Source organism: Homo sapiens, chromosome 15 (genome assembly GCF_000001405.40).
Source record: "Homo sapiens chromosome 15, GRCh38.p14 Primary Assembly".
Taxonomy (NCBI): domain Eukaryota; kingdom Metazoa; phylum Chordata; class Mammalia; order Primates; family Hominidae; genus Homo; species Homo sapiens.
The window spans coordinates 43,855,628-43,878,752 of record NC_000015.10 but is presented as its reverse complement, the minus strand read 5'-3'; the positions used below and the strand labels follow the sequence as shown (position 1 = coordinate 43,878,752).

Below are 23,125 nucleotides of genomic sequence, written 5' to 3'. Positions count from 1 at the left end.
TCATACTTTGAAAGATCCTGCAGTCAGAGCTGTCTTCATGAAGGGGCAGGCCTTTGAAAGGGTGGCAGGCGCCCTATGCAATGGGGCTGAGGACTGCCTGGGAAAGGAGCCAAGCAAGCAATATGCTGCAACCAGGGCCTTAAGGTTTCTGCTTTATCAGTGACCCATAACCTGTCCCAAGGTACATATTCCTCAAGCTGCATGTGCAAATGGGGACATCAGGGAGGAATACTGTGGAAGAGAGATCAGAGGAACAGCAAGAGCTCTAGAACAAGGGACAGAGACTCTTAATTTCAGGTTATTTCAAAACAGTTTCTCGAGCAATTAAGACCTAAATCTAAGGTAGATGCTGGCTGTTGATTTAATCCGTCCTGGCCCATGGTTCCATTCCATGGAATCCGACTACAGTTAAGTCATCACTTAACAGCGTTGACAGGGTCTTTAGAAACTGCAACTTTAAGCAAAATGATGTACAATTAAACTTTTTTTTTTCTCATCAACATTATAACAAAATGGGGCTGGGCGTGGTGGCTCACATCTGTAATCCCAGCACAAAAACCTGTCTCTACAAAAAATACGAAAATTAGCTAGGCGTGGTGGCACATGCCTGTAGTCCCAGCTACTCAGGAGGCTGAGGTGGGAGGATCACCTGAGCCTGGGAGGTCGAGGCTGCAGTGAGCCGTGATTGTACCACTGCACTCCAGTCTAGGCAATGGAGTAAGACTGTCTCAAAAAACTAAAGAACTTTAAAAAAATTATAACAAAATGATGCTGAAGAAAACATTGGAGGACCTGCTGTAACATCATTTGGCTTAAAGTCATGGTTTCCAGGAACCTGTTGACAACATGAGGACTTAATAGATATGATCAGCAGGATCATGAACTAGAAAGCGGCTTGGATTCTATCCTTGGTTTTGCCATTAACTGCCAACCACATGACTTCAGATAACCTCTTGCCCTCACTACCTTGTGGAGTTACTGAAAGATAAAATCAAAGTGCTTTAAAAAGATGAAAGCATTATACAAATTTAAGATTTTAGCACAGGGACAAAAAATACAGCTAAGACTATGAGGAGCTTCTGAAAGCAGAGATTGAGAGCTGTGGCAAATATATGAGCCGTGACGCAATGGGGAGCGTAACTAGATGGCAGGTGCCCTGCCTTTGCCCCCACCCTCTCTCCCCATTGTCCTACTCATTCATAACCCAGATTCCAGGGCTCATTCCTCTGGAGAATCCTTAACTGTGCCTGTGCCAAGACAGGCTCCACAAGGCTGGTCAGGCAGGCTGCCTGGGTGCAAACGGCCAAGCCATGAGGGAGCCAAGGAAGATGGGACACACTGCTTCTGAAAGGTTACTAACACCTTTTTAAGAGAGACCTTTGGACTGCTTCATGTCCTGGAAGAAGGGGAAAAAAGAGACCCTTTGGGCTTCTGGAGCTAGCCCTGAACCAAAAAACTCCCTAATCAACCTGACTTAGGTAAAACCTTTACTGAGCTGGGAATCTGGTTCAGTCTGGGATTGTCAGGGACTATTTCAGGGCAACAGAAGGGGACTGGCTTTTCTTGTCATAGGTCACAAAGGCAGAGAGAACCACACCAGCATCACCAAGATGGCCAGGAGTGGAAAATGCAGACATTGAGCCTAAAACAAGAAGCCATTTCCTTGGGAGCACTGTGATGGGGGCCGCGCTCACTCACTATATGCCCAAAGCCTCTGGCCTGGGTGGCTGCTGTTCAGTTGAGAGTGTAACCAGCTCCTGTTTTCCCTGCCAGGGCTTGAGTCCTGTGAGAACCTTGGGAAGAGAGAAGAGATAATGGGTAGTTTTAGGGGATAGAATACCCCTTCCTCCTACCAAATGTAAGAGAAATCCACCCCCGCAACAAGATCTTCTCAAACTGTTTTGTGCTCTGAAGTGTCTAAAGATAGGGGAGCTTTTCAGCCTATTCTAGACCCAGCTCCTTCTCAGAGGAAAAGAGAGGGAGCTGGCCAGGGACTACTCCCATGCCCCCTCAAGAAGAGCAGAGAGAGTTTCTACCCCATCATTCCACAAAGTCAGAACAGCTAGAACGGAGGCTGAAGAGACTGAGAGCAGCTGCAGAAATCCAAAAATATTGACCTTATAAGCTCAAGATGCTGTATGCTGGGTTTTTACAAGGATATTCGGTATTTGATGAAACCCAGTTAGGCATGACATATTCCCCTTCTCCCCATTCCTACCTCTCTTTTATTAAAAATTTTATAGTTACAGTGTCTATGTTGCCCAGCCTGGTCTTGAACCCTTTGGCTCAAGTGATCCACCTGCCTTGGCCTCCCAAAGTGCTGGGATTACAGATGGGAGCCATCGTGTCTGGCCCATTCCTGCCTCTTAAAGCCCTCCACCCAACAGGCAGACTTGAGACTCAAACCGTGGTCCCAGCTCTGCATCAGGGGTAGTTTGGAATTCAGATTCTTTCAAACTGGGGTAAAAACCAGGCCCAGAGTTCAGAGTTCAACAACAAGCTTCCAAGATGCCGCCCAAAGGAAAAAGTGGTTCTGGAAAAGCGGGGAAAGGGGGTGCAGCCTCTGGGAGTGACAGTGCTGACAAGAAGGCTCAAGGTCCCAAAGGTGGTGGCAATGCAGTAAAGGTCAGACACATTCTATGGGAAAAACATGGCAAAATCATGGAAGCCATGGAAAAGTTAAAGTCTGGGATGAGATTCAATGAAGTGGCCACACAATATAGTGAAGATAAAGCCAGGCAAGGGGGCGTCTTGGGTTGGATGACCAGAGGGTCCATGGTGGGACCATTTCAAGAAGCAGCATTTGCCTTGCCTATAAGTGTGATGGATAAGCCTGTGTTTACAGACCCAGCAGTTAAGACAAAATTTGGATATCATATTATTATGGTTGAAGGAAGAAAATAAAATCATATGAAAGACTGAAAGAAAAAAAAAAAAAAAAAAAAAAACTAGGCCCAGGACACCAAAGGCAAGAAAGGCAGAATCTTTAACAAATTAGGGGCTGGGTGCGGTGGCTCACACCTATAATCCCAGCACTTTGGGAGGCCAGGAGTTCTAGACCAGCCTGGCCAAAATGGCAAAACCCCGTCTCTACTCAAAATAAAAAAATTAGCTGGGTGTGGTGGCAGACACCTGTATTCCCAGCTACTCAGAAGGCTGAGACACAAGAATCGCTGGAACCCGGGAGGCAGAAGTTGTAGTGAGCTGAGATTGCACCACTGCATTCCAACCTGGGCGACAGAGTAAGACTCCATCTCAAAACACACACAAACTAGGCCAAAACCGTAAGCAAAAAGCAAAGAAAAACTCTTCTAAAATGGCCACTGTGATTTCTGTGCCTTCTCTTGTTTCATACATACATATATATATATATATATATATATATATATTTTTTTTTTTTTTTTGAGACAGTCTTTCTCTGTTGCTCAGGTTGGAATGCAGTGGTGTGATCTTGGTTTACTGCAGCTTTGACCTCCCAGGCTCAAGCAATCTGCCCCCCTACAAAGTAGCTGGGACAACAGGCATGCACTACCACACCTGGCTTCCTCCTCGCCCCGAGGCAGAGTCTTGCTCTGTCACCCAGGCTGGAGTGCAGTGGCACGATCTCTGCTAACTATAACCTCTGCCTCCCAAGTTCAAGCAGTTCTCCTGCCTCCCCTCCTGAGTAGCTGGGATTACAGATGCCCGCCACCACACGTGGCTGATTTTTGTATTTTTAGTACAGACGGGGTTTCACCATGTTGGCCAGGCTGGTCTCGAACTCCTTACCTCATGATCCGCCCGCCTTGGCCTCCCAAAGTGCTGGGATTACAGGCATGAGGCACCACGCCCAGCCTTTTTCTTTTTTTTAAGATGGAATCTTACTCACTCTGTTGCCGAGGATGGAGTGTAATAGTGCGATCTCAGCTCACTGCAACCTCCGCCTCCCGGGTTCAAGCGATTCTCCTGCCTCAGCCCACCAAGTAACTGGGATTACAGGCATGTGCCACCAGGCCCGGCTGATTTTTGTATTTTTAGTTGAGATGGGGTTTCACCACGTTGGCCAGGCTGGTCTGGAACTCCTGACCTCAAGCGATCCACCCATCTCGGCCTCCCAAAGTGCTGAGATGACAGGTGTAAGCCACCATACCCGGCCTGTCGTCTTCTCGATATATCAAAATAGAGTGCAGTGGCTACTGCTGCTGGTCATGTGGGTGTGCAGAATGGTACCCAATAAAACACAATGGGTGCTACTGGAAAGCAAAGGGTGCATTGGGACACAGCCTACTCATGTTCCTTTTGCCTTTCTAGGCCTAGAGTCCTTACGGGACAGTGCCCATTCCACACCAGTGCGTTCCACTTCCCATGGGGACACCTTCCTGCCTCACGTGAGAAGCAGCCGGACAGATAGCAATGAGCGAGTAGCTGTGATTGCAGACGAGGCCTACAGCCCTGCAGACAGCGTGCTGCCCACCCCTGTGGCTGAGCACAGCCTGGAGCTGATGTTGCTTTCCCGGCAGATCAATGGAGCCACCTGCAGCATTGAGGAGGAGAAGGAATCTGAAGCCAGCACCCCAACTGCTACAGAGGTGGAGGCCCTTGGGGGAGAGCTGAGGGCCCTGTGTCAGGGGCACAGCGGGCCCGAGGAGGAACAGGTGAATAAGTTTGTTCTAAGTGTCCTCCGTTTGCTCCTTGTGACCATGGGACTCCTCTTTGTTTTGCTCCTCCTCCTGATCATCCTTACCGAGTCTGACCTTGACATTGCCTTTTTCCGTGATATCCGCCAGACCCCCGAGTTTGAACAATTCCACTATCAATACTTTTGTCCCCTCAGGCGATGGTTTGCCTGCAAAATCCGCTCAGTGGTGAGCCTGCTCATTGACACCTGAGAAGGCATGACTCCTCCCAAAAACTAGCCAGGTGGACCAAGGAACCCGGCTACCCATTCCCAGCAATGGGACCCATCGCGGAACCATCGGCACATATACCAAGTCCTCCTCTCATGACTCAAAGTCCACTGCAGCCTAGGAGGGTGTTTCCCAGAAGAAGAAAGGGATAGGCTCATGCCCTGTCTAAACAAACTGGGAAAACTCATTTTCTTCAGAAGTTATTTCAAGAAAGGCTCAGCGACTCTGTTTCTCATCTTTCCAATTTGCAGGATAATTTTTGGTTTTGAATTTTGATTTTTCATAGATGTATATTATTTTGAAGTATCAAATAAAAATAATTTATTTTACTATTACTGATTATTGCAGTAGTATCACCTAGCAGAGGGGACACTAGTTGAAAACTAGAGAGCTGCTGTCCTCTGTATTCTGCAGGAGCTTTTCCTGCTGGTGCCACTGGGTTCCAGTAGACTCATCACTGCAGCCTCAGCAGGGCAGGCCAGGGATCTGGACAATGGGGACTGTTTAGTTTTTTGTTTGTTTTTTTTGCCAGCCAGAACTTTTAAAAAAGTAAACATCCATGTAGAATGATTAAATGGAAAGTTGCTTCTTATGATGGTCTGAGTTGGATTTTCTTTTCCTTTTGTTTTTTCAAATCTGAGCAGAGTGGGCATCTGAAGGGACCACCGCTACAGCAACAGCAGCATCAGGGGTGGGGTAAGTCTGTCCCCTTAGTCTAGAGCCTAGTGGGCATCACCATAGTTTTGTATAATGAAACTAGACTTAACGTGATTTTTTTTTTCCGAAGAACCTCAAGACTTTTATAGTGCTCCAGGGGCGTTAAACGAATTCAGTGGTACCAGAGATAGATAGTTCTGTCAGAAATGTTGGACAAAGTGTAGTTAAGAGAAAGCAGAGTTAAGTTACCTGAGAGACTGTTGAGATTTGGATAGCAGTGCTTATTTTATATACACCCCCTTGACCCAAAGACTATTTCAATTTATATTTTAACAACGAAATGTTATTTTCTTAACAATTCATATTTTGTTTTTACTTTATGGATTAAGAAAATAGAGCCTGATGAACTAAACGATGCAAGAAAGAAACTGATCCTGAGAATGAAAAGCTTCAGAAAATAGAATTCCAAGATCAACAGCCTTAGAAGGGACCAGGAAAAGAATCTTTTAAAATAGATTTCTAAGAGATGCCTACAAAACACAGAATGTGACCGTGGCAGAGACCAACACTTAGATGTAGAAATGCTGCCCCCTAGGGTCATCCTCTGCATAAGTTCTAGGAAAGCATCACCATCCTTGCAGAGGGAAGTCCTCGAAGCACGCAGCACAGGCATATGAAGGGCGAGTGTGGGATCCTAGGCCCAAGCTCTTCAACTCTAAAACCAATCACACACAAGATCCTGTTTTCATCTCAGGGAGAGATTTCTAAGTCATCTGGGGCTTGAGGGCTTATTTAAGGGTGGTCAATGGACATATTCCTGGACCCACACAAAAGTAGAGCAGCTGCTGATACCCTAATTGGACAGCCCCAAACGCAGAACAGAACAAGTCACTTGTAGACTTGACCTCCCCTATTTTGTCCCCCGAGATGGTAGAACCATGTCCATGTTTACAATATGACAACTGTGGAATAATTGGGGTTCTTAGGGAGAGATTTGCATAATTTTAAAGACATCCTTTCATCTGGACCAGAGGTCAATCAACTTATGTCAAGTGCTACACAGTAAATATTTTGGTTTAGCACGCCATACTGTGTCACAACTGCTCAATTCTGCCATCACAGCACAAAAACAGCCACAGATAATTTGTAAATGAAGGAACATGGCTGTGTTCCAATAAAACTTTATGAAAACAGTGAGCTGAATTTAGCCTACAGGCCATAATACGCCAATCCTGCTCTAGACAATAAAACTGATCCTTACCAGTATGTTAGCAGAAGAGGGTCAGTCAGCTCTGTTTCCATGCCTGACATGTATCAAAGATCTGGGACCTCTTCCCAGTGGAGGCACTAGGGTTGCTTGTTTAAAGGGTGCTTGAACAACTAACCAGCAAAGAGATGTCTGATGCCAAATGGGCAAGATCAAATACTGGAATGCTAAAACACAGCTGGAATCTAAGAAGGGAAGAGGGCTTCTCTGACCATTTTCATACCAGCAACAATTTAGGCAGAATTATAAACATCTATTTATCGAGTGACAATACAAACCGAAGGAGATCCTAGTAGAGATTAGGGGTCAGTTAAAATCAACTAGCCACTGCCACTTGTCATCTACATAGCAAAGGCTTTATTTAGCACAGGACTAACGTGAAAAGTAGACCCAGAGATGAAAAGGCTGTCAGGAGACAGGGGGCTGGTGTCCACCTGGTATCTACTGTCTTATGCAACATAGAAGATTACCTTTTAGTGTAGTGCTCCTACCTCAGTTTGTAGAATCTGGTGTTTCTATGCAGTGAGTGATAGCCTCAACTCTGACCTTTCATATTCACATTAGAGACAGATGCAGTATTCCATATCCTAGTATGTTCCTTGTGTCTAGAGTTCTAACAGTACAGTAGTCTATGCCATTTCTAACAGCTAAATTTTGCTCTGTAAACAGAAACTTTAGGGTTGTTTTTTTCCAGGGCTCATCCCAGAAAATATGGATAGAAAAGTTTCCTTCAGTTTGCTTTTCAAATAGTGCTTGAATAATAAACCTCCTTTGATTGGTGACTAGTCTTTTTTGGTATATCTCCACCTTTAAAAATTGTTCAAGTTTTTAACCTGGTTATACTGTGTTCTAACATGTCTCTCATTTTCTCTCAAAATTAGTTTATCTCATTGTAGAAAAAGCAATGGTTTTCATAGCTTCATCTATCAGGAAATAAAACTCTTACTAAAGAATAGCATACTGCATCTTTAAGCAGTAGAGGGTAAACTACCTGCAAATGTGAATTTCTTAGATACATTTAAAAATATATAGTTGTTAACCTTCTGTGTGCCAAAAACTCTTAAGTTACATTTTCCTTCAAAGCAATGTACTTTTTTCTACATATGCAGTATGTAGTTAGCATAAAATCATTGGTGCCATGAAGATTATTTTTAAACTTAAATAAATATTTAAATATCATGGAAGAGTGGGCTCTTTCTTTAATAATAGCCTGTCTTACTTTTCCTCCCTTAAAGTTACTAACACATAGATAAAAGGATACTGGTGGGATTTACACAGCTGACTACTATTCACTTGGATCATATAACATAATTATTTTGCTTGTATCCACCTATTATCCTTGTCCTTACCCCCAGATAAATACTGTTAGAAACTGAGAAGCGGCCAGGCACAGTGGCTCACGCCTGTAATCCCAGCCCTTTGGGAGGCCAAGTCGGGAGGATCACGAGGTCAGGAGTTCAAGACCAGCCCGACCAACGTGGTGAAACCCCCGTCTCTACTAAAAATACAAAAATTAGCCAGGTGTGGTGGCGGGCGCCTATAATTCCAGCTACTCAGGAGGCTAAGGTAGGAGAATCGCTTGAACCTGGGAGGCGGAGGTTGCAGTGAGCTGAGATCACACCACTACACTCCAGCCTGGGTGACAGAGCAAGACTCCACATCAAAAAAAAAAAAAAAAAAAAAAACTGAGAAGCTATATATGTAATAATTTTAAAGTGAATTGGGTATTTTTCTGATGAGGAAAACCAAGAAGACTAAGTGATTTTCCCAAGATTACATAGTGGTAGAGTCCAAACTAGAACCCAGATTGTCCACCTTCTGGTCTGCTGTTCTTACTCAAGCCTGGAGTAAGTGGGAGCACAGAAAATACTTTCTAAGAAGGAACTACAATGATACCACCACCACATATTTACAAAATATATCCCTATAGCATTATCTCATCTGATTATGTAACCATCACTCTGTGGCTACGGAATTGGAAATGGTCTTCTAAATTCCATGAGGATAAGAGGTGATAATGGGGGCTTGGTCCACTGTGCTAGCTTCTTACCTAATCTTTGTCTTTTCAATTCTGCCTGCCCTCCACTCTCCCATTTCTGTTGCCAGATCATCCTCCTAAACACCAATCAGGCTATGTTACCTCCAAATTTCAGAGGTACCCACTACCTAAAAAATGCTATCTAGCACCCTATCCCCAGCGGAATTTTTTGTTTTTATGACATAAGATTTTGCTTGAAGTGATCCAAAGAGTAAAAAGCACAAGAAACACTGGACCTGGGTGGCTTCCCGTGGCCCTGCCGATTCACAGCAGCCTCCCTTCTGCTGACAGCTTATCAAGAACTACCTGTGCACACACCCCTGTAGGACTCTAGTCCCTACTCCCTCTGCTTTGGGTTCCTCTAGCACAATCTAGCTCCTCTGCACCTGAACACACTTTTGGTTTTAGCTCATGAACAGGCTTCCTCTTCAGACCCCTACGACCTGCTGATGGAATGGAGTAAAACAAGCAAAGCACCCTTTTAATAAATTTCCTCTTGCCCAGTTTCCATTTTGGGGAAAATGTATCATAAAATGTTTTGTTCTTCAGCTCCGTGTAAGTGTACTAAATGTTATCTTCCTCATAAATTCTACCTTTTCATTTGAAAATCCAAGTATTTACAGCCAAATAAGTCAAAATACAATCTGCTGTCTTGTTATTTCTAGCCATCAACACCCTACTAAAAAGCAGGGGGAAATGTACTAAGTCAGAAAGGACCGCCCAATAGGACATTGAAGTTTTTGGAATCTGAAGTTAGAGGGCATATATTTCCTCTTCTCAGATTGATTCAGAAGGCATGTGTGTCTTCTCCCCCACCCTACCCCATGTACTGTACATTAGCTGAAAGGATTTAAATCCTTGTATCCATAGCCCTAAGGCTCCCTGTTTTCCTGGAGAACTCCCCTTGCAAAATCTTCTTGGTGGAAAGGAAGCTCAAAGACCAGAATACTAAAATAGGACTTAAGCAACTCAGATTCTATTAATTCCTAATCATTTGTGGTCTCTCCTAGTCTGACAAAGTCTCTGACAACCAAAAATGAGAATTGTCTGCTCCTTCCTTAAAAGTTACATAACAAAAGCCTGGGTATCTTAAAAAAAAAAAAAAAAAAAAACTCAAGCGGAATTCAGAGCTTAAGAGATATCATAAAGGCCAAACTTACAGAAAAGGCTTATCCCGAAGGAGGCAATCATAATACACACATAATTACAGAAGCCACACAGCTGTAGGCAAGTCTGTGGGAGAAGTACCTTTCACTACAGATTACAGTGTAAGAATGTCCCAAGGGAGACAATTTTCTTTTATGTGCTGTCTAGATTTAAACAATTACTCCATTAGAAAGCTTATCACCAATAAAAAAAAAAAAAAGTCCCTACTCATTCTCCTTCCTTCCTGCACTGCCTGAAGATATAACTCTATAAAGTATAACTGAATATAAATAGCACTGTTTATGAAGCCACAATGGCAAAAGAAACCACAAAAGTGAGGAACATCAAGAATTTGCTAACATTTATTGACGAGCCCAGGCAATTACTGCCAAGTATTCAAAGCTTAAATGATGGTACTAATTTGATTGAGAGTAGTTTTCAGCATCTTTAAAAACAAAAACAAAAACAATTCCCGTAGAACTAACCACTCTAGAACCCATGAGATTAATTGGTATAGAAATGAAAAAGGGAGCCTAAAGCCTTTACGATGTTTCCTGAACAGTTTAATTATAACTCAACCTCACCTAGCTTTTCTTTCCCTTTATAAATTAACATTTCCATCTCACTTGTCAATTCTTCTACTTATATCAACTAGAAAATAGAGAACTATTGCTTATAAACACCTAAACCTATTAAAAAACTAAACCTTTTTACACTTAGATTACAGAGAAGAAAATTATTTAGAAATTGGTTTTCAAGGAAATTGTATATCACTATATTTCTCTGATATACAATTATGGGAAAATATTTCCTCTTAGAATTCAAACATATTGCCAAAGCCATTTACAAGTCTTTCAGTATTTGGCAATGAAGAATAATGAAAAAAGTTGGATAGATGTCACACAGTAATATTAGTAACTGATTTGGCAGCTCCCCTCCCAACAACAAACACATTGAAATTACCATAACTTCTGAAAAGAAAACATTTTCATAAAATACCAAAAGTGGTGAGTATTTCATAATATTCCCCCAAATACAAGTAAGAATGAAGGTATTCACTTAACAGGCTATTGAATTTCCTTCGGACAGTTTAAAGATCGGGACAGGTAAGCCTGGGGCCTTCTTCATTCTAAGCAGTAGCTTTAACTTCTTTATCCATTACCCATGGTACTATAGTAATAAAATATATATATATATATATTTTACATCAGAATACACATAAACATATATACCTAACAAATATATATGCATATGTAACTAAGTTTTACCAAACAATACTTACTCAAATATATTTTCTGTTCTTTACAAATTCTTTCCTTTTCATTTTTTTCAACACCAGTCATTGTCATCTAACTTGATTTCATGTGAAGAGCAAAAACCCAGTCTGAAAAACACAGGTCTGAGGCAATCTTATACTGGAATGCCGGGACCAGGGCAGATCCCAACCCGGTGCTTGGGAGTCCTGCCTGTGTCTCAGGAGCCATCTAGAGTAAAGGCAAAGTACAGACAGACCCAGACCCCGCCCTGGGTAACCAAAGCTGCTCAGCAATTATCTTGGCATTTCACGTAAGACTTAACCTACAGGCAGGGGGCAAAAAAAGTTCTCAGTTAAAAAAATCAAGTTTTAAAATCACTGAGTTACATTACCTTTCCGGGTCCCCTTCCAGTGTATGAGTCTAGAAATAAGTATTCATTATAAACTATAAAATAAGCCACAAATTACTATAGAATCAAAACTGTATCATTAGATCACAAAAACTTTAATAGTCAAAGCTTTGTAATTTATAATGTTAGAATTTCTCAACATACTGTCTTGATTACAAGTTCTGATGGCCAGGCATGGTGGCTCACGCCTGTAATTCCAGCACTTTTGGAGGCCGAGGCGGGCAGATCACCTGAGGTCAGGAGCTCGAGACCAGCCTGGCCAACATGATGAAACCCCATCTCTACTAAAAATACAAAAAAATAGCCAGGCGTGGTGGCAGGTGCCTGTAATCCCAGCTACTTAGGAGTCTGAGGCAGGAGAATCGCTTGAACCTGGGAGGCGGAGGTTGCGGTGAGCCAAGATCGCGCTATTGCACTCCAGCCTGGGCAACAAGAGCAAAACTCCATCTCAAAAAAAAAAAAAAAAAAAAAGTCCTGACGGCACCTCAGCCTCCCCTCAAATTCCCTCCCCGTCCTGCAGAAGCAACCCTCCAAGACTTCTCCCTTACTAAAAGTACACTCTTCTTATAGTCTTATTAATAAAACAATGTTATAATTGCTAAATGTAACACATTACCACATAAACACACTAAGGCACGCCGATTACTAGGCTCCTTAGACAGTGGTCAATTTGAACAAATTGATGTTCCTAAACCAAAAACTCAGCAGCTTTTTTCATTCATAAAAACATGTATCTTCCCGCTGGAATTACCTCCAGCCAAAATATACCGAGTTGGGTGCATGGCATTGATGGAACACACAGAGACAAGGTATTCTCCACCAAACGAATGCACCCTCTTTCCTGTCTCATGGAAGATTTCTACCCGTCGTGGATGGGCCATGCTGCCAACTATGACACAGTCTTCTTGTTTAGGATCCCACATGGCTTGGAACCTGGTCAGCCATCGCCCAGTGAAAGTGTTGTGCCTAGTGAGGAAAACAATATATTTTTTAAATGAAGTAAGGTTAAATAAGGTAGCATTGGGCAGAGGGTAAAGACGGCATTGCTCCTAAATGCTAGTTTTCTCTGCCAAGTTTCTTCTCATTAAGTTACTGAGTTACCACCAACCTTACCTCATCCTTACAGGACTGAACCTCTGGACAGAGACGATATCCTCCTCATCTAAAAATCTCCCAAAATAAAACATATGGAGCCCTTTATAGTTCCCAAAAGCAAAAACAGAAGTACTGCCCTTTTAGTCTTTTTGCCTTAATATCACTAACAATCCTTTTTCATTAAAGTATGGACTACACATTTCCCACTGCCACTTAAATGACCCCATCATTAATGAAAATTCTTACCCCCTAGAATAGTCACCCTACATAAATTTTTTAAAAATATACATAATATGGCCAGGCACAGTGGCCCAAGCCTGTCATCCCAGCACTTTGGGAGGCCGAGGCAGGTGGAACACCTGAGGTCAGGAGTTCGAGACCAGCCTGTCCAACACGGCGAAACCCAGTCTACTAAAAACACAAAAATTGGCCAGGTACAGTGGCTCACACCTGTAATCCCAGCACTTTGGGAGGCCAAGAGGGTGGATCATTCAAGGTCAGGAGTTCGAGACAGCCTGGCCAACATGGTGAAACCCCGTCTCTACTAAAAATAGGAAAATTAGCTGGCCATGGTGGCGGGTGCCTGTAATCCCAGCTCCTAGGGAGGCTGAGGCCGGAGAATCACTTGAACCCAGGAGATGGAGGCTACAGTGAGCCAAGATTGCACCACTGCATTCCAGCCTGGGCAACAGAGTGAGACTCTGTCTCAAAAAAAATAAAAATAAAAATACAAAAAGTAGCCAGGCATGGTGGTGCTTGCCTGTAATCCCAGCTACTGGGGAGGCTGAGGCAGGAGAATTGCTTGAACCCAGGAGATGGAGGCTACAGTGAGCCGAGATTGCACCACTGCATTCCAGCCTGGGCAACAGAGTGAGATTCTGTCTCAAAAAAAAAAATAAAAATACAAAAATTAGCCAGGCATGGTGGTGCTTGCCTGTAATCCCAGCTACTGGGGAGGCTGAGGCAGAATTGCTTGAACCCGGGAGGTGGAGGTTGCAGCGAGCTGAGATCGCGCCACTGCACTCCAGCCCCCGTGTCAGAGGGAGACTCCATTTCAAAAAATTAAAATTAAAAATTAAAAAATAAAATAAATATACATAATACTGGCTGGGCACAGTGGCTCATGCCTATAATCCCAGCACTTTGCGGGGCTGAGGAAGGTGGATCATCTGAGGTCAGGAGTTCAAGACCAGCCTGACCAACATGGTGAAATCCCATCTCCACTAAAAATAGGAAAGTTAGCCAGGCATTGTGGCTCATGCCTGTAATCCAGCTACTCAGGAGGCTGAGGCACGAGAACTGCTTGAACCCAGGAGGCGGAGGTTGCAGTGAGCCCAGATCATGCCACTGCACTCCAGCTTGGGCAACAAGAGCAAGACTCCGTTTAAAAAAAAAAAAGAAAACAAATAATTAAAAAATGGGCAAAAGATCTGAATACACACTTCTCAAAAGACGATATACAAATGGCCAATTATATGAAAATACGTTCAGTATCACTAATCAGTGAAATGCAAGGTAAAACCACAATGAGATATCACCTTACATCTAGTAGAATGGCCATTATGAAAACAGCAAAAGATAGCAAGTATTGGTAAAGATATGGAGAAGAAGGACCCCTTGTACATTGTTGGTGGAAATGTAAATTGGTGCAGCCATAATGGAAAACAGTATGAGGTTCCTCAAAAAAGTAACAATGGCACTACCATATGATCCAGCAATCCCACTACTGAGAATATATCCAAAGGAAATGAACTATCTATGAGATACCTGTACTCCCACATTCACTGTCACATCTAAGATATGGAATCAACAAATCAATGGATAAATGAATAAAGAAAACGTAGTATATACACATAACGGAATACTATTTCACTTAAAACAAGAAAATCCTGTCGTGGATGAACCTGGAGACATTATGTTAAGTAAAACAAGCCAGGTACAGAAAGACATATACCACATGACCTCACTCATATGGGGAATATTAAAAAGCTGAGGCTGGTTCAAAGGTAGTAACTTATCTTAATTGATTGTTCACAGTCAGTTACAGATAAAACTCTTTGTTCTACTCTTTCCCACCTTCTCACTACTACACTTGACTAGTCTAAAAAATAATAATAAATAAAAAATAACAAAGTTGTAAGGCCGGGCATGATGGCTCATGCCTGTAATGCCAACACTTCGGGAGGCCCACGTGGGAGGATCGGCTGAGGCCAGGACTTCCAGACCAGCCTGGGCAACAGCAAGTCCTCATCTCTACAAATAATTTTTTTAACTAGCAGGGCATGGTTCTGTGTGTCTGAAGTCCCATCTACTTGGGAGGCTGAGGCAAGAGGACTGCTCAAGTCCAGGAGATTGAGGCTGAAGTGAGCCATGATCATGCCACCACACTCCATACTGGGCAAGGGAGCGAGACCCTGTTTCTTTTTTTTTTTTTTTTTTAAAAAAGAGAGTAGTTAACAAACTGCTGGGCAGAGAGGGAAAGGTTTGGGGAGATGTTGGTCAAAAACTATTAAATTTCAGTTAATAGGAGAAATACATTCAAGAGGTCTATTGTACATCAGGATGACTATAGTCAATAACAATATATTATATTCTTGAAGATTGCTGACAGATTTTAAGTGTTCTCATCACAAAAAAATGGTAAGTACGTGAGGTAATACATATGTTAATTAGCTTGATTTAGCCATTCCACAATGTATATATTTCAAAACATGTTGTACATGATAAATACACACAATTTTATTAGTCAATTAAAAAATAAGACTGGATGCAGTGGCTCATGTCTGTAATCTCAGCACTTTAGGAGGCCAAGGCAAGCGGATCACTTGAGGCCAGAAGTTCAAAACCAGCCTGGCCAACATGGGAAACCCTGTCTCTACTAAAAAAAATACAAAAATTAGTGGGGCATAGTGGTGCATGCCTGTAGTCCCAGCTACTCAAGAGGTTGAGGCAGGAGAATCGCCTGAACCCAGGAGGCGGAGGCTGCAGTGAGCCGAGATCGTGCCAGTGCACTCCAGCCTGGACAACAGAGCGAGACTCTGTCTCTAAATAAAATAGGCTGGGCACAGTGGCTCACACTTGTAATCCCAGCACTTTGGGAGGCCAAGGTGGGTGGCCGCTTGAGGTCAAAAGTTAGAGACCAGCCTAACCAATGTGGAGAAACCTCATCTCTACTAAAAATACAGAAATTAGGCTGGGTGTGGTGGCTCACGCCTGTAATCCCAGCACTTTGGGAGGCCGAGGCAGGTGGGTCACGAGGTCAGGAGATGGAGACCATCCTGGCTAACACAGTGAAACCCCATCTCTACTAAAAATACAAAAAATTCGCCGGGCATGGTGGCAGGCGCCTGTAGTCCCAGCTACTCAGGAGGCTGAGGCAGGAGAATGGCATGAACCAGGGAGGTGGAGCTTGTAGTGAGCCGAGATCGCGAGCCTGCACTCCAGCCTGGACAACAGAGTGAGACTCTGTCTCAAAAAAAAACAAAAAAACAAAAAACAAAAAAAAAAACAGAAATTAGCCAGGCAGGGTGGCGTGCACCTGTAATCCCAGCTTCTTGGGAGGCTGAGGCAGGAGAATTGCTTGCACCCAGGAGGCGGAGGCTGCAGTGAGCCAAGATCATGCCACTGCACTCCAGCCTGGGCTACAAAGTGAGACTCTATCTTTAAAAAAAAATTAAAAAAAAAAAAAAATTGTGGACCTGAAAAAAAAAAAAAAAAAAAAAGAAACTGATAAAATGGAACAAAATGTATGAAGCAACAATCAATGTATATCACACACTATTCGCAACTTCATAAATAGTGACAAAGAGGAATATCAAGGAGAAGGCATTGAGTAAAGTTTGATGTAAAATACACACATACAAGGCCAGGCGCCGTGGCTTACGCCTGTAATCCCAGCACTTTGGGAGGCCGAGGCGGGTGGATCACAAGATCAGGAGTTCGAGACCAGCCTGACCAACATGATGAAACCCCGTCGCTACTAAAGATACAAAAAATTAGCTGGGCATAGTGGTGCATGCCTGTAATCCCAGCTACTCAGGAGGCTGAGGCAGGAGAATAGCTTGAACCTAAGAGGTGAAGATTGCAGTGAGCAGAGATCACGCCACTGCACTCCAGCCTAGGCAACAGAGTGACACTCCATCTCAAAAAAAAAAAAAAAAAAAAAATACACAAATACATTCAAAGTAGTTGATGCAAGAGTATAATCAAAGAAATGAAGTGGGAAGATGGGGAAGCCCTCAAGGCCCAGAATAAACAGACACAAATAAACAGACCTTCAGACAGCCTCATCAGCAAGTGAGTAGTTACAGTCTTCTTTAATAAGATAACATGAGTAATTCAGTTCAGAATAAAGTCATTAACCTTAACCAAAAATAACCTCCCACCTGCAGAGAACAGCTACTGACTACAAGAGACTGAACCTCTACAGACACAGGGAACCTGGAAGCAAGAACCCTTCTGGATAGGAACTAGCAAACTGGGACACTTATAATTTTTGTATTCAAAAATCAGGACTATTACATCTCTTTGACAATCAGATGTCTAATGTATGCACTGCAACAAATAGTTCATAGTAATCCACATCTACATTATTTGGCATATAGAAGCCTACCTGATGGTGGTGAGGAGCGGAATCTTAGAAGATATACAGCTGCTGTCAAAAATTCTGCAAAATAAAGAGAGTAAGACATTCTTTTGTTACTTAAAAACTTTCTGAAATAAATATCAGTGTATTTAACAAGCTTCTCATTAATTCATGGTATGAAATATATAACTGTCACTTAAAAATATGTAGGATCAGGCCGGGTTTAGAGGCCCATGCCTGTAATCCACAGGAGGATCACCTGAGGCCAAGAGTTTGAGACCAACCTGGGCAATACAGTGAGACCCATCTGTACAAAAAATTTAAAAATTAGCTGGGCATGGGGCACATGCCTGTAGTCCGAGCTACTCAGGAGGCTGAGGTGAGAAGATCACTTGAGCCCAGGAGTTTGAGATTACACTAAGCTATGATCACTCTACTGCACTCCAGCCTGAGCAACAGAGCGAGAACCTTGTCTACAAAAAAAAAAAAAAAAAAAAAAAAAAGAGTAAGATCAGGCGCTAACAAATCTTGGTCAAGATACTAAACAAAAGTTACAAGACGTTTTATAAAATAAGTCAGTGCTTATAGTTTAGCGTAGAAATCATTTGGCTGAGTGTTGTGGCTCATGCCTGTAATCTCAGCACTTTGAGGCCAAGGTGGGAGGATCACTTGAAGCCAGGAGTTTGAGACCAGCCTGGGCAATATAGTGAGACCCTATCACTACAAAAAAAAATTTAAAAAAAAATAGCTAGGTATGGTGGCACATGCCTCTAGACCCAGCTACTTGGGAAGCTGAGGCCGTAAGATTGCTAGAGCCCGTAAGTTGGCTGGAGCCCAGCACGTCAGGGTTGTAGTGAGCCATGATCATGCCACTGCACTCCAGCCTGGGCAACAAAGAGATACTGTCTCTAAAAAAACATCAATAATGATAAATGAATAGAAATAAAATGCCCATTCTAAAGCGATCATCTGAACTGTAAAACTATATACAAAATTCACAAAAATATGGGACATAAAGGATGTGGCCTGAAAATGTACAAATCACCTAAAAGTACATCTGTGTATCAAGAGCAGTTTCCCTGAGACTCATCAGCTGAAGGCCTGATAGTGTCATTTCCAGACTAAGACCAACCAGCAACAAAGGAGAGGAGTTGTGTTTTGGTTTTCAAGAGACAACGTCTCATTCTGATGCCCAGGCTGAAGTGCAATGGCACCGTCACAGCTCACTAAAGCCTCAACCTCCTAGGCTCAAGTGATCCTCCCGCCTCAGCCTCCCAAGTAGCTGGGACTACAAGTACACACTACCATATCTGGCTAATTTTTTCTGTAGAGACAGGGTCTCTCCTTGGTGCCCAGGCTGGTCTCGAACTCCTGGGCTCAAGTGATCCTCCCACCTCAGCCTCCCGAAATGCTGGGATTATAGGCCTAAGCCACTGCACCTGGCCAAAGAGAGGAATTTTTATACAGCAGTTGGAGAGGAGTCTAGAAGCCTCCACTGAGCACTACAGCAGAAGGAAACTAACAGCATCACCACCTCCTTCTCTTCTCCTTGTGCCTAGCTTTTCTAGTGTGGTTTGCTGGCACTAGAGTTTATTGCCTAAATAGATTAGTAGAAAGCCAAACCACTAATAGTTAATGTAACAAGAGTAAACTGCAGTGTAAACGAACAGGAACAGAATAAGCAGCTTTTGAGACAAAGGAAACTACATGAGTGGAAACGGGATCCTGGCCTACCATTCCCGGGTGACTCTCTTCCTACAACACCTGGTTAATACTCACAGACTTTGCTAGAAACTAACTAGACACCTGTCACACACTGCAGACCACGCTCTTCCCATCAGGTGGGTTTAAACAGAAACTGGGTGCCATTCTGGAGCCTGGTGAACAGTATACATTCAACTGAATAATATATGAATTCCAAAATCACTTAAGGTAAAACTCTCATAAACTGAAAATGCTTGAAATTTTAAGCAAAATCAGGGATTCTAAAAGAGAACAAAATAATTTTCCTTTGTGATTACACTAATGTTCCCGACATCTTTATTGACACTGTTTTCTGTTTTTTGTTCGATTGGTTTATATTACACTTTAAATCCATTTTTAGGAAGTAGCTATAGGAAGGTACTAAAGCTAAAACCCTAGAACTATAAAACCATATCCAATAGTTTGTATAGAATCCCAGTTTTTGCTCTTTTCTGTCTGCCCATGGTCTGGGGCTCTGCAATTTCCATTCAGCACTTCACTTGCAGAATAGATCCCACTGACCCCAAAGTATGCTAAAATTATCTCCTTTTCAGGATACTACACAGCCTGGTTTCTGGGATTCTTCAGTGCTTAAAGGGAAGCCAGACCATAAACCCCCCAGGGTACCTACGGACCTTTGCCAGTCTCAAGGAAATTTCCAGGACCCAAAAACCGCTGAAAAGCCATTAAATACAGGTCACCAGTCTTTAGGAACCTACATATGACTACTAAACAATAACACTAGCAATTTAATAGGGAACAGCAGTAAACAAAGCTTTTGGTTTACTGACACAGTAGCTATAGACTCTTTAGATTCCCTAAAAACATTTCTGCCTTCCCAATTTACCTCAGATTACAATCAGCACATGTGGTCACCACTCTGTTACCAGTAAGAGGTGAAAAATAGGCGGAAGCAATGCTCTTTGTATGTTCAGTCAAAGAAATCAAAGGCTGACTTCTCCTGGAATTCAATCGCCTTGCATCATAAATATGAGTATCCCTGTAATGGGAGAAACAATGATCAATGTTGCCATAGTACATGTAATGAACCTCTACAACAGGGCTAAACATAAGTTAGACACTCACATACTTGCTATACTGAAGAACATTTAAGACAGAACTCTCAGCCAGGTGCGGTGGCTCAAGTCTGTAATCCCAGCACTTTGGGAGGTGGAGGCAGGTGGATCATCTGAGATCAGGAGTTCGAAACCAGCCTCAACATGGAGAAACCCCGTCTCTACTAAAAATACAAGATTAATGTGGTGGTGCATGCCTGTAATCCCAGCTACTTGGGAGGCTGAGGCAGGAGAATTGCTTGAACCTGGGAGGCGGAGGTTGCAGTGAGCCGAGATCGCGCCATTGCACTCCAGCCTGGGCAACAAGAGCAAAACTCCATTTCAAACAAACAAACAAACAAAAAAAAAAAACAGAACTCTCTAAGGCCAGGCATGGTGGCTCACGCCTGTAATCCCAGCACTTTGGGAGGCCAAGGCGGGTGGATCACAGGGTCAGGAGTTCAAGACCAGCCTGGCCAAGACAGTGAGACCCTGTCTCTACTAAAAATACAAACATTAGCTAGGTATGGTAGTGCACGCCTATAATCCCAGCTACTCAGGAGGCTGAAGCAGAAGAATCGCTTGAACCTGGGAGGCGGAGGTTGCAGTGAGCTGAGAGTAAGATTCCATCTCAAAAAAAAAAAAAAAAAAAAAGACAGAACCCTCTAATACTCTTATTAATTTCCCCAAAACTGGTATAGATAACAAGTACAATACTAGACACATCTCAAAACTATAGCAGATACTTGGATCCAGTGTGTACAGAAAGACTTTTTTTTTTTTTTTTTTTTTTTTGGAGACAAGAGTCTCGCTCTGTCATCCAGGCTGGAATGCAATGGTGCAATCTTGGCTCACTGCAACTTCCGCCTCCTGTGTTCAAGTGATTCTGTGCCTCAGCCTCCCAAGTACCTGGGATTACAGGTGCATGCCACCACACCTGGTTAGTTTTTGTATTTTTAGTAGAGACAGGGTCTCACCATATTGGCCAGGCTGGTCTCGAACTCCTGACCTCAAGTGATCTGCCTGCCTCAGCCTCCCAAAGGGCTGGGATTACAGGCATGAGCCACCACGCCCAGCTGTCAAGTTTCTAGTTGGTTTTTCAATCCTTCCTAGAAAAAAGTTAACACAGGCCAACAAGTTATAGGTCACATGTAACTTTTTTTTCTGTGAAATTTAAATTTTCTTCTCATAAGAGGCGAATGCATATAATGCCAAGGAAAACAAAAATTTCTTTCAGCTTTTTCACTATTTATCAAATCTAAAAGAATTTTTCATTTTCAAAAAAAATCACTCAAGTCTCAATCAGTATAGAAAGGAAAATTACTTGGCCTTTGGGTATTACAAAAGTAATACCTTTTGTAATATTGTATTACAATATCTTTGACAACCAAACTAAACCATGTAATTGTGACATTAAAAGGTCTAAGTCATAAAGTCTTATAAAGACCATACCTCAATCCGGCAGTGATAAAATACTGTCTATGCACTGGGTGGACATGAACAGTTCTTATTTTTCCCATAGAAGAACTGGTAAGTTTCTCATAAGAAGTTCCAGGTGTCCGTCTATCCACCAGTGACATATTTCCATCCCAGTGTCCTACTATTAAAGTGGAGGCATCTTCTGCCAAGAAGTCGAAGGAGGAAAAGCTACTTCTTTCATTTCTATACACCTAAGAATATAAGTAACAATCAGCTTATATCACACTCTTCTTGTAAAGAAAGCCAAAGCATAAATTCTTTGGTAAAAGGGTTATAAAACACTTTACCCAAATAACCTCATTTATCCTCTCATCATCCCCATCAGATGCACAGGACATAATGGAAACACAGTCAGGGTATTTGGGGTTCCATTACCTTCAATATTTATCATTTCTATGTGTTGGGAACATTTCAAGTCCTCTCTTCTGGCTATTTTAAAATATACAATACACTGTTGTTAACTATAGTTACCCTATTCTGCTACTGAACATTAGAACTTATTCCTTCTAACTGAAAATTAAAAAAAAAAAAAAGAAACAAAACAAAACAAAAAAGAAACAAAGGCACTGATCAGCTGTGTCTACAATTAAATGGCCCATCTACCCATGTCAGGGCTACATCCCAAATCTCTCAATCCAATAAACCTCAGTTCCAGATCTACCCTGTGAAACTTAACAGAAAAGAACTGAATGTGAATTCTACCCAATTGAAATTATATTTTAATATGCAAAGTAACTTTGCCAACCAAGTCCAAGACACACAGCTGAATGCTCACCTACTCTCAGTAGAAGAGTAAATATATACATTTTTGACAGTTAATCAGGCTACATCTATCAAAATGTTTAATGCTTATACTTTTTGACCCAGTAATTTCACTAAGAGATCTATAAAAATGTCTGCTGCAAGATTGCTTATAATAGCAATAAGAAGCAACATAAATATCCACCAAGAGAGATCTGGTTAAATAAATGATGATCCACCTCTATTTTGAAATACCATGCAATGCTAAAAAGAATAAGGTAGTTTTATAGTATTAACTGTCCAAGATATACTATTAAGTGAAAAGAGTTGCAAAAGGCTATGTATATTAGTATGAAGCCATTAGTATAAAGAAGAGGAGAAAAAAATGTATAACTATATGCTTGTAAGCATAGGTGTACTTTGTGGAAGCATACTCAAGATATGCAACAACGGTTACTTGTGATAATGGGAATGAACAACAGGCAGATTTACTTTCATATCTGATTTACTGTAAATATTTTATCATGAGCGTGTTTTTTTTTTTTTTGAGACAGAGTCTCACTCTGTTGCCCAGGCTGGAGTACAGTGGCACGATCTCGGCTCAATGCAATCTCCGCCTCCTGGCTTCAAGTGATTCTCCTGCCTCAGCCTCCCAAGTAGCTAAGATTACTGGTGCGTGCCACCATGCCCGACTATATCATGAGCACGTTATTAAGTTTTTAATCACATGTAATCTACAATGCAATCACTTTGGGTTTAGGACTCATG

At 42.3% G+C, this 23,125-nt stretch overlaps 2 protein-coding genes and 1 pseudogene across 15 annotated transcripts in view; 2 read left to right on the top strand and 1 right to left on the bottom strand.

Moving 5' to 3' along the window:
- Positions 1-7,989, top strand: part of FRMD5 (FERM domain containing 5) — a 328,710-nt gene extending 320,721 nt beyond the window's left edge. For 6 of the 12 annotated variants that reach the window (NR_104455.2, XM_047433194.1, NM_032892.5 and 3 more), the window contains one exon: positions 4,291-7,989. Coding sequence is in view for 10 of the 12 variants with exons in the window: in XM_047433194.1 (XP_047289150.1) it covers positions 4,291-4,868 (578 nt within the window). In the remaining 2 variants the exon portion in view is untranslated. The remainder of the gene's footprint in view (positions 1-4,290) is intronic. The other 6 variants (NM_001322951.2, NM_001322949.2, NM_001322950.2 and 3 more) reach the window with 4 other exon arrangements.
- On the top strand, positions 582-2,947 carry PIN4P1 (peptidylprolyl cis/trans isomerase, NIMA-interacting 4 pseudogene 1; annotated as a pseudogene). The gene has a single exon (NR_003571.1). The product of NR_003571.1 is annotated as a peptidylprolyl cis/trans isomerase, NIMA-interacting 4 pseudogene 1 (transcript).
- A 2,351-nt stretch (positions 7,990-10,340) lies between the features above and the next one.
- Positions 10,341-23,125, bottom strand: part of WDR76 (WD repeat domain 76) — a 41,411-nt gene continuing 28,626 nt past the window's right edge. For both annotated transcript variants that reach the window (NM_024908.4, NM_001167941.2), the window contains exons 10-13: positions 21,590-21,807; positions 19,930-20,082; positions 17,367-17,420; positions 10,341-12,625 (exon numbers count right to left, since the gene is read on the bottom strand). In NM_024908.4, coding sequence (NP_079184.2) covers positions 12,361-12,625; positions 17,367-17,420; positions 19,930-20,082; positions 21,590-21,807 — 690 coding nt within the window. In that variant the 3' untranslated portion in view covers positions 10,341-12,360. The remainder of the gene's footprint in view (positions 12,626-17,366; positions 17,421-19,929; positions 20,083-21,589; positions 21,808-23,125) is intronic.